The 12,151-nt window shown below is 50.4% G+C and overlaps 1 annotated feature.

Annotated features, from left to right (window-relative positions):
- Positions 370-869: an enhancer, noted in NCBI's record as "H3K4me1 hESC enhancer chr14:95403487-95403986 (GRCh37/hg19 assembly coordinates)". NCBI's record gives its function as "activates a minimal SCP1, AML or CMV promoter by ChIP-STARR-seq in primed H9 embryonic stem cells {active_cell/tissue: H9 hESC(primed)}" and the evidence as "EXISTENCE:reporter gene assay evidence [ECO:0000049][PMID:30033119]".

Consider the following 12,151-nt stretch of genomic DNA (forward strand, 5'->3'; position numbering starts at 1 on the left):
AATGTTGGGCTCACTCGGCGGCGGGCGTCCTCCGGGAATAGGCAGGAACCTCGGCCCGGCCTGGCCTTGGCGGTGCCGGCCGAGGGCTGCCGCGCACCGGGGGCAGCGGGCCAGGTGGCTGGGCTGGGGTGGGAGTAATTTGGGTTTTTTTTTTAAATGATCTATTAAACCCCTGAACTTTAATCAAGCTGCTACCACACTGACGGTGCTGATTTACTCGAGGAGCCAAGGGGCCGGGCCAGGCGCAGGCCACTGGGGTTGGCGGGAGGGCCAGGGCCGCCTGTTCAGGTCACCCGTGGCCCCCGGGGGCTTGGTCCTCAGCCAGGGGGCTGGACAGAGGTGAACCTGCCTCCCAAACACAGACGGAGGCTTTCCAGTGGAGTCCAGCCAAGCCTGCCCCAGGCGGCCTGCCCGTGGGATTCCCTTGGAGGGGGGGGCCCTCTCGGCGGGTGCTGGTTCCTCCACACTGAAGTCACCAGGAAAATGTGGGGTCTCCCAGGCGGCAGCTGCTCCCGAGTCACCCGTCCCTCTAAGGCCAGGCAGACCGAAGTGACTTTCTCAGAAGTCCCTCAGGATAAACATGTTTAAAAGTGGCGTTCCTCACACCAGGGAGCTTGAAAGAGCTTCTTAAACAGTGAAGAAGAAAACTTCTTATAGGCCCAGAACTTTAGAGCAGGCTGCCCCTTTAAAAGGGTCGCCTGGATATTAAAGGGAAACAGGTCCTGGGAGGGACCCATTTCCCCAGGTCCCGGGCTCTGTGTGCCACGCAACTGCTGAAAGTGTGAGGGGCTTTACGGTGGTAAACTCTGTTTTTATCTCTCCCTTGGGTCCACTAAATAAGGAGGGGTGTGTATGAGAGAGAGAACGGCTGTGTCTGTGTGGTGTGCATGTCTGTATGTGCGTGTCTGTGTGGTGTATATGGTGTGTGTGTGTATCTGTGTGGTGCGTGAGTCTGTGTGTGTCCCTGCACACCTACAGATTGTGTGAGTCTGTGTGTGTGTGTCTGTGTATATGTATCTGTGTGGTGTATGGTGTGTCTCTGTGTGTGTATATCTGTGTGGGGTGTGTGTGGGCCTGTGTATTCATGAATGTCTATGGTGTGTGTGTCTGAGTGTGTCTGTGTGTGGCTTGTGTGTCCATGTGGTATGTATAGTGTGTGTGTGTCTGTATGCTATGTATGGTGTATGTGTGTGTGTGTCTGTGTGGTAGGTATGGTGTGTGTGTGTCTATGTGGCATGTATGGTATATGTGTGTATGTCTGGGGTGTGTCTGTGTGTGTGTGTGATGTATATGACATATGTGTGTGTTCATGTGGTATGTGTATGTGTCTATATGTGTGTGTCTGTGTGGTGTATATGGTGTGTGTGTGTATCCGTGTGGTGTGTGAGTGTGTGTTGTGCCCATGCATGTCTATGGGTTGTGTGTGTGAGTCTGTGTGTGTGTCTGTATGCACATGTGTCTGTGTGGTGCATGGTCTGTATGAGTCTGTGTATGAGTCCATGCATGTCTGTGGTGTGTGTGTGTGTTCATTGTATGCATGTGTCTTTGTGTGGTGTGTGTGTCCATGTGGTATATATCGTGTGTGTGTGTCTATGTGGCATGTATCTGTGTGTGTGTCTGTGTCTGAGTCTGTGTGCATGCATATCTATTGTGTGTGTGTGTCTGTGTGATGTGTATGGTATATGTGTGTGTGTCTGTGTGGTATGTATGTGTGTGTCTGTCCGTATGTGGGTCTGTCTGTGTGCATGCATGTCTATGGGGTGTGTGTGTCTGTGTGATGTGTATGGTGTATGTGTGCGTGTCTGTGTGGTATGTATGCTGTGTTTGTCTCTGTGTGCCCATGTATGTCTGCAGGTGTATGTGTGTGGTTGTGTATGTGTGTGTGTGTGTCTGTGTGGTATGTATGTGTGTGTCTGTCCGTATGTGGGTCTGTCTGTGTGCATGCATGTCTATGGGGTGTGTGTGTCTGTGTGATGTGTATGGTGTATGTGTGCATATCTGTGTGGTATGTATGCTGTGTTTGTCTCTGTGTGTCCATGTATGTCTGCAGGTGTATGTGTGTGGTTGTGTGTGTGTGTGTGTGTGTGTGTGTGTGTGTGTGTGTGTGGTTGATGGGGAGAGACTGAAAGCAGGAGTTGGGCCTTCCGGAAATGTCAGCTCTTCTAGGCTTCAGCTTCAGGCAGGCTGAAAGCATCGAGGCAAGAGGAAGGTGGCCATATGAGTTCTGGTCTAACCCAGTACTCTTGGGAGTAAAAGATGCCAGTTGTCACCACACACAGACTCACACATACACACCCCAAACAGATATAGATGCATACACCATACATGCAACGTAGACACACACACCATACATACCACACAGTATGCACATACACGATACACCATACACATCACACAGACACACACACCCCATAGATATTCATGGACACAGACTCACACAAAGACAGACACACACATGTACTGCACAGACATACACACATACACCATACACATCACACAGACACACACACACTATACATACCACATGATCAGAGGTGTAAACAGGAGCTGAGTGGGCGTGAGGACCCTGCAGGAAGGTAGAGGCCCTTGGGGACACTCTAGGCCACAGTGGGAGAGACCAAGCCCAGAGAGGGAGGGTCAGTCGGAGATAACATGGGAGTGGGGGCGGGTGAGCTGGGTGGAAGCACCACCACCGCTCTTCTCAGGGCCTTATCTCCAAGGGTCCCAGGCAGCCTGCACTTGTTCCATCCCTGCTTTTTTTAATTCTCACTCCTTCCAGGACTCTCCCCTTTTGGATGCGCCCCACACCCCACATGGCCTCTGCCAGTCCTTCAAGGGCCCGTCCGGCGGTTGCTACAAGAACGTTTATCCAACCAACCCCCTGCATCTCCAGGGCACCCGCCCCAGGGTCACGCCAGGCTTGTCATGCATCTGCATTGGCCCCACCTGGCACTGTCGAGATGGCACAGCTAAGGCAGCTACCAGACTAGAGAGCAAGGGTCGGGACATTGGTCCATTTCCCCACCTGGAAAATGGGGACAATATTCCCCCAAATTCAATACTCACAATTTTTATAGAAATTTGGCCACATATCAATTCAAGACACATACTTAATTAGGGTATCTTTCTTTCTTTCCTTAAATTATTGTTATTAAAGCAGTGTTGGGTCTCCCAGTGAAAGATGTGTTAGAACTGAGAAAATTCAGAATAGCCACTCTCGTGAGGTTGTTCTGTAGATTAAATGGCAGAAAACAGCACAAGGGCAGGCACGTGCTGAGCTCTTGTGAACACTGGCCATCACCATTGAAACCGCAGTGAGTCTGGTTGAGCCCTTGGTGAACATTGGCCATCACCATTGGAACCGCAGTGAGTCTGGTTGAGCCCCTGTGAACATCGGCCATCACCATTGGAACTCCAGTGAGTCTGGTTGAGCCCCTGTGAACATCGGACATCACCATTGGAACTCCAGTGAGTCTGGTTGAGCCCCTGTGAACATCGGCCATCACCATTGGAACTCCAGTGAGTCTGGTTGAGCCCCTGTGAACATCGGCCATCACCATTGGAACCGCAGTGAGTCTGGTTGAGCCCTTGGTGAACATTGGCCATCACCATTGGAACTGCAGTGAGTCTGGTTCTGCATCTGTTTCCCTCTCATGCTGGGAGCTCTTTGAGGCAGGGGCTGGGGGTGGGGGAGTGGCACATCTATATCCTCTATTCCCACACATGGCTGGGTCCCCACTGGTGACTGGAGGTTTCTCCCTGAGTTTGAAGAGACTCTGCCCACCCAGCCAGCCAGGGGCCCTGCCCAGGGAATGGGTAGGGCTGAACTCTGCATCCACTTGTTTGTTTTTCTGAAAAAATACGCATCCTGGAGATGTAAGCTCTGGAAAGCTGTCTGCCACCTGGCCAAGGGGACCAGGAAAATCGAGTTGTTTATGGGGTTTACACACAGGAAGTCTTCCTCAGCACCTCGGGGTCCCAGCCCGGGATTCTGCTCAGCCCCCTGCAGGGGTCAGTTCTTTCCACCGAAAGGGGTTGGGGTGTCCCCAGGAGACTTTCCTGTGCTCTCTCCCTCCCATCCCCCACTCATCACAGCACTGTAGGGGGCAGGGGAGGCTCCTCTCAGTGGCACAGTGGCCACACTGGCTGCAGGGTTTTTGTCCACCCCTGGGCAGGCCGAGGCCTCTGTACTTCCCCGGCAGGCGCACCCAGTGCTCAGCATGGGGCTGGCACCCCTCCATGTGTGCAGATGAATGCACGATGAGACAGATGGGAAGGGTGAACTTCACACCAACATGGTGAAACCCTTTCTCTAATAAAAATACAAAAATTAGCTGGATGTGGTGGCGCATGCCTGTAATCCAAGCTACTCAGGAGGCTGAGGCAGGAGAATTGCTTGAACTGGGAGGCGGAGGTTGCAGTGAGCCGAAATCATGCCAGTGCACTCCCGCCTGGGCAACAGAGCAAGACTCCATCTCAAAAAAAAAAAAGAAAAATATAAATGTAATGATGCATATATACTACTAATAAATCCAGCCCAGATTATAGTCATCTTTATACCAACACAGTTGTAAAATAGAATTTTTATTTTATTTTTTTCTGGAGGAAGCGGCCCACAAAAGTCATAATGCAGCCCAGAACAGGAAGCCCACGACGTACCCTCAGTGGGTTGGTAAATACCGCCCAGCTGCGGCAGTTGCTGGTGGGCCCTGCCCTGTGTCACCCCCACCTCCTCTGACCAGCCTGTGGCTGGGGCAAATCCATCCTGCCAATGCCTGGGCTTCCCACACAAGCACTCACTATATCTCAGTGTTTCTGCCACAGAACTTTCTAGAAAGCTGAGGTTGTTTTCACAGCCTGCAAGCAGGGACAGCAGGGAAGTGTGGCATTATTGCCCTGAGGACATCACCTGAAGGGAATGGGAGCACTGGGGACATGTCCTGGGCTCCCCTCCTCTGAGGGACAATCTGTGGTATGTTCCGCGTGGTTCTTCGAGGGTCCCCAGTGCACCTGGTGCAAGTCGCTCACAGCAGAGACCAGAGTGATGGTCACCTTGTTGGCTTCTTTCCCTCTTGTCTCACGCTCCTCATGCCTTCTTGCTCCCGGGATCACTTCCTTAGTCATTCACCTGCTCCAAGGCCCAACATCTTGTCTCCAGGCTCTGACTTCAGGGAACTCAAACCAAGACAGCCCTTTATGGTTGGTTGTGGCCCAGGGCATCAGGAGACAGCGACCTATGGAGTCTCTCCACAGCTAGATGAGGCTGTCAGTTTGGTACCTTCTACAGAAAAAGCCTCGGCTGAGAAGGGGGCAAATTTATAGTTGGGCCTGATGCAGTGGCTCATGCCTGTAACCCTAACACTTTGGGAGGTCAAGGGGGAAAGAATGCTTGAGTCCCAGAATTCAAGACCAGCCTGGACAACATTGCAGGACCCTGTCTCTACAAAAAACTTAAAAAATTAGCCAGGCATGGTGGTGCATGCCGGGAGTTCCAGCTACTTGGGAGGCTGCAGTGGGAGGATTGCTTGAGCCCAGGAGATAGAGCTGCAGTGAACTATGATCACACCACTGCATTGAAGCCTGGTTGACAGAGCAAGACCCTGTCTCAAAAAAAAAAATGCATTTCAAACATTTCCATGGGCCATGGGCATGGTGCCTACTGAGACCAATGGAGAAGGCAGCCCTGTTCCCGTTGTGCATAGAAGAATCCCAACTCTTGTCACATGGCCTGCAAGGCTTCTGGTCTCAATGCTGGCCTCCTCTGTCTGTGAGCTCTCCTGAGCCTTTCGCCCCTTGAGACTTCAGCATGGCGCCATCTCAGGTCTCAGCCTACATGTCACCTCCCCTCAGAGGCCATCCTTTTATTATCTCCCACAGCATCCACTTCTGGCCCCTCACAGCACTAGCCACCCCTGCAATTACATGTGAGTTAATCTGCTTGGTTGAATGCCCATCTTCCCATCCTGACTGTAAGCAACAAGCAGGCAAGGACGGGGTCTGTGTCATTCACCGCTGTGTCCCCAAGGCTCAGCAGGTGCATGAAAGGCTGTGCTTCCCAGAGCCCCTTCAGGGAGCAAGGACTTGTTCCCAGAGGCTGAGAGAGCCTGCAGCAGACAAGCTTCAGCTGCCTGCGCTTTTGTGGGAGAGCTCCCTTGCCCCAGGCCTCCCTCCTTCCAGGACAGCCTGCATCCGGTGACAGAACAACCTGGGTCTAAAGGCCCAGCCCTCTTGCCCCATCTGGGGCAGCTCTGACAGGTCATCCATCTGCAGAGCTCCTAATGGTGGGGGCTGGGGCCTCTGTTGGGCCCTCATCACAGCCCAATGTCTCCATCACCCAGTGCTGATCCTAGTGGCACCCCCACCAAACTTCATCTCCATCTCGGATTCTCCCTCCCCAGCATCCCCTGGAAACGATGACCTCTGAAGTTGTGGCCATAGTATAATATGTCAGAATGATGAGGTGGGTCTCTATCAAAAGGAACAGGCATTTATTAGCAGTCTGCTGGCATTTTTCATTTGTATCCATGGAAGAGATTTTTTAATAGTGTTCCTTGAAGCCCCCTCGGGGCTATCATGAGGGGGCACTGAGGGACTTTATTCTGAAAGGGTGATTCACGCACCTCCTCCTCCCCATTTCCATTCAAGCAGCTGTGCTCTATTCCAGTTATGCCCTGGGCATTTGCATCCAATTTCATTTGAAGAAAAGGCTCTGCCATTTTTAAAAAGTTTAAAAACCACTGACTTCAGTAATACAATAATGCTACTGATGATAGTGATAGCAAATATCCACCCAGGGTTTACCTGCGCCAGGCACGCTTGTCGTGAATTTGCTGATCGGGTCCTCGCGTCAATCCCACAAGGTTGGGCACAGTCACCACCCTCATCTTATCATGCAGGAGACTGAGACACAAAGATGTTAAGTGACCTGTCCAAGGTCACACAGCTAAGAGCTGATAGAACTGGCTCTCTACTGGTGTTTTATAGCATTTGATCCCAGAAGCTGATGAAGATGCCAGATTCAGGATCACAGTCTCTAGAACACAGCTAGTCACATCTCTCTTGAATCTGTTTACAGGAAAACACCAGCTTGTTTTTGAAAATCAGAAGCTGGGCAAGCTCTTTCTCTGCTCTTCACTGTTTCTTCTTTCCCTGTGGCAGAGAGGGGCAAGAATAAGCACCTACTCACTGTGTTTGAATCAGGGGTGGGAGCCAGGGAGAGGCAGAGAGCAAGGAAGACAGTAGTTGAGTTTTTAAAAAAATTATCCCAACAACTCTTTGAGAGTCCACACATGGGGAGACTGGAGAGGTGACTTGCCCAAGGGCATATGGAACACAGTGGCTTGCAGCCTGCAAGCCAGACCAGGGCTCTGTCCATTTGGCAGATGGCTTCTCTCGCGTTCAGAAACCTCCACAATGAAGATGAGACCTTGGTCCACTGCATGTGAAGACCCAATCAAAGTAGGGGGGACATTTGTCCTGACTGCACCACCTGGGCGCTGAGCTCTCAGGAAGCCCAGTGGGATCGTGCTGCCAAACTCCATCAAATCCAGTGTCCTAGTGTGGTTTATTCAGTGTTGAACTAAGGTCTTGAGGCCTCATCAAGGAAAAAGGCCAAAGTTTCTCAACTTCCCCAAAGAGAGATGCTTCAGCCGAGTTTGGCCTGCATTCTCCTCAAGGATCCAGGCACAGCAATGATAACACTTGGGATTTCTGCCCGGCAGGCCTCACCCAGCTCCACCGGACTCTACCCAGGTTCCGATTTAGCTCGGAGCTCCACAACTCAGGGGCTGTGTTAGGGGGCAGGCCTTGGGGGTTCCCAGGGAGGAGGGCCCACCTTCAGCCTCCTTTCCTGCATACAAATGTGGAGCAGAAAAGAAGTTGCCTTATCTAGAACACTTAGCCAGTCATTGGGTTAGAAAAATGGGAAGAGACTTAACTCCTGCAGGCTGTCACTTCCATTTTATTTGAATGTCTCTTTTCTTGCATTCTCTGCCCACCCTGGCAGGGTTATGGCTTCTGTGGCATTCTTATACGATGATACAGGGATGTTTTATTCACGGAATCCCTCTCCGGGAAGAATTGTATGTGCTGGGGACCGTTCAATGAGGAAGGCTGGTTGAATGGGACATGAACCAGCTTTCTGGTCAACCTCATTGTTTCCCACTGGAGTGTATCTAATTTCAGAAAAAGATAAATAAGCCTGAGGTTTTGAGTGGGCTGTGTCACCTCTTCTTGGGCAGATGTGTGATTTCTGTAAGGCCTTGGCCATATTCAAATTAGGGGAACCCTACCTCCATCCCCTACACACACTCCTGTCTTGATGGCCCTCCTGGGGACAAGGTAGCCCAGGTGGGAACACTGGTCCCTATAATCCCGAAGGAACCATCAACTGGGGGACATCCTGCAAAGCCAGGACACTGCATTCTATGCACTATTTCCCCATGGACTAGAGACCCCTCGAGGGCAGTGGCCTGCGGCACAGCAGGTCTAGGCCCTCCTCCCAGCCTGCCCTGGCTGAGCTGCTGCACTCAAGACTGATGCACTCGTCTGGCTGCCTCAGGCTGCAGTCTGAGCTATTCCCATAGGAATCACGGTACCTCTCTCCCTAAAACCTGGATTCCTCACCTGATAAACGGGGATGGCTGGCCCAGTTTTCTCTCCCTCATTTATTCAAGAATTTGGCTGGGCACAATGGCTCACGCCTGTAATCTCAAAGTTTTTAGAGACCGAGGCGGGAGGATCACTTGAGGTCAGGAGTTCAAGACCAGCCTGGCCAATGTGGTGAAACCCCATCTCCACTAAAAATACAAAAATTAGCCGGGTGTGGTGGCACATGCCTGTAATCCCAGCCACTCGGGAGGCTGAAGCAGAAGAACCCGTTGGCCCGGGAGGCGGGGGTTGCAGTGAGCGGAGATCACGCCACTGCATTCCAGCCTGGGTGACAGAGTGAAACTCCATCTCAAAAAAGAAAAAACAAAAAAAGAATTTGTGGCCCTTTCACAGTGTGCAGGCACTATGTGGTTGTGACCTGGGGTGGGGAGCATGGTGGTGACAGAGACAGGAACCCAGGCTGCCCAAAACAGGAAGGCATCACGTCATCATTTCATGCTTACGCTTTATCATCTCAGAGCAGTGTTGGGTCCAAGGGCCCCTGGTATCACTTCCAAGACTTAATGTAACCCCCAAATTTTCATTCATTCCACAAACATTTCCTGATCCCCTTCTATGTGCCAAGCACCATTCCAGGCAGCAGAGATACAGTCCCGAGTAAATCAGACACAAAAACAAAATAAATAAGTAGATGAAACAAATATGTATTATGGGTGAGATTGTACGTTATAAAGTGATCATAGTATTTACGTTGTGAGTGATAGGGAGTGTAATAGTATATGAGGAAGGGATAGAAACTACATGAAAAAGTAAAAACAAAGGGGGTGCTGGGAGAGGTGGGGGTGTGGGTATAGATATGGTGGTCAGGGAAGACCTCCCTGAGAAGGTGGTGTTTGAACAGACTCCAAGCAGATGAAAGAGTGAGCTACTCAGATACCTGGAGGACGTGCGTTCTAAGCAGAAGGAACAGCATGCACACATGGCAGAAAAGCATCTGGCAGGTTTGAGAAATAGCAAAGAGCTCAGTGAAACTTAACCAGAAGCAGGAAATGAGGCCAATCTGAGAGATAATGGGACCAGATCATGCCCAGCTTTGCAGCCCTTGTGGTGATGTTGGCTTTTGCTCTGTCTTTCAGCTACTCAGTCTTCCCACAAGCCACAGAGAGAGGTAAGAAAGGGAATGTTCCAGCCCTGGGCTAGCTGCTCTTACCACGTCACCTTCCCATGGAAGGTCAGAGCCTGGGAGAAACCTTCGTGGAAGTCCAGCCTGCCTCTGTTCTCCACTGCCCTAAATCAGGTCTCCGGGGAGACCAACTCTGAGACAGAGACATGGATGCAGGGGGGTTGCTGATGGTGCTCCTGGGAGTCACGAAGAATCCCTATGGGGGCATGAGGGAAGAGGACTGGCGGAGGGAAATGTCGAGTAGTGATGCAGCCACAACAAAGGCCTTGGCCAGATTCTGCATGGAGTTCTGGAGCTGGGGTGGCCCCGTAGAGAGCCTTTAGATGTGGGCTGTCCCCCAGGAGGGGGCACAACTTGAGGCAAAGCCACTCCCTTACTGAGGGCAAGTTCTGGAGAGGGACTCACAGAGAACCATTGGCTCCAACTCTCCCGGCAGCTGGCAAATGAGTGCCTCGTATCTGTAGGGTGCTCTAGTCTGCACTCCTAATGTCCACTTTACCTACTATGTTTGCATCCTCCTATACCAGGTGGGCCCCTGCCTCTCCTTGCACACCTCCAGCATGCACAGGAAGCTCAGTAAGGGAGCCAAGGGACCCTGTCCAACTCAGACAGCTGGGACCATAGAAGAGTCGTCATGGTTGCAGGAGAACCTGCTCAGCCCTAGCGCCCTAGCTGCATGGCTTGGGTGAGGTACTTTAACCTTGAGGAACCCCCAGGCTCCAGGTACTGTGGAGTGGAGATAGTCATTGTTGTTGGCTGACACTTGCTATAGTTTGAATATTTGTCCTCTCCAAAACTCATGTTGGAATTTAATCCCCAATATGGTAATATTGAAGGTGGGACTTTTAAGAAGTGATTAGGTGATGAGGGCTGTGCCCTCATTCATGGATTCATCCATTCACAGATTAATAGGTTAATGGATTCATGGGATATTATGGGAGTGGAACTGGTGGCTTTATAGGAAGAGAGATCTCAGCTGGCACATGAGCACACTCAGCCCTCTCTCCGTGTGATGCCCTGAGCTGCCTCGGGACTCTGCCAAGAGTCCTCACCAGCAAGAAGGCCCTCACCAGATGCATCCTCTTGATCTTGAACTCTCAGCCTCCGTAACTGTAAGAAATGTATTTTCTTTATAAATTACCCAGTTTCCAGTACTCTATTATAAGCAACAGGAAACAGACTAAGACAAATCCCCAAAGATGTCCATGTCCTAATCCCCAGGACCTGTGAACATGTTAGGTTATATGGTGGCAAAAGAGACTTTATAGAGGTCTCTGTAAGGATCTTGACAAGGGAGAGTAGCCTGGATTATCCAGCTGGGTTCAATACAATCAAAAGTATCCCTATGGAGGGAGGCAGAGAAGGCAGAATTCCAAGACTGGAAGATGCTACATTGCTGGCTTTGAAGAAGGAGGATGGGGCCACCAGCCAAGGAATGCAGGGAGCCTCTAGAAATTAGAAAAGGCAAGGCAACAGATTCTCCCCTAAAGCCTCCAGAAAGAACCCACACCTTGATTTTAGGACTTCTTAATACTGTAAGATAATAAATTTGTCTTGCTTTAAGCACTAAGTTTGTGGTAATTGGTTACAGCAACAATAGGAAACTAATAGTTGAAACTAATGCAGGATTTTCACAAGGGTTGGCATTCATCATAAATTTATATAATAATATTAGTGGCATAATATAAGCTCTGAAACATAAATTAGTTCATAAATGTCTGCATCTTTTCCTCTTCCTCACACTGAGTTAACCCCCCTGCCTACAGCTCCCACTATCCGTCCTGACAAGGCCCTTTGGCCCTGGGGTCACCAAAGCAGCTGTAAAGACCAGTCCACAAAATCGGGAGTATAAGAATATCATGCTTCTATTTCCACAAATCATCTTAGTTCTCATTCAGTACCCCTTCCACTAAATTCCCATCTCATTATTTCTTTTTTAAAAAATGGTTTGTTTGGTTTTTTTCTGAATTACGTACATGCACAAATACAAAAGTTTGCAGTGAATGGCAAACCCCTCTTCCACTCCTTTACCCCAGTCACCTCCCTAAAGGTAGCCTGCATCCACCTGGAGAGCCCAGGTGCCTTCTCGAAGTCCTGGAATTGGTTAATAGTGGTGGTTTGCATGGACCCAAGTCTCTCAATCCACAGCAAGCCAACACATCTTGAAAGGCAAACCATATCCTGACTTGATTTGGGTTGGGTGGTATTATTTAGTCAAGTCATTTGTTCATGCAACATTAAAACCCTGATGAATATCAGGTCAAGGATGAAAGGATAGGCACCCAAAGAGCTCTACATTTGACACGTGGCCAGTGCAGTGGAGGTGTGTTGTCAGGGTAGAACACATGGGAATTTGAA

The sequence above is a fragment of the Homo sapiens genome, chromosome 14 (assembly GCF_000001405.40).
Source record: "Homo sapiens chromosome 14, GRCh38.p14 Primary Assembly".
Lineage (NCBI taxonomy): Eukaryota > Metazoa > Chordata > Mammalia > Primates > Hominidae > Homo > Homo sapiens.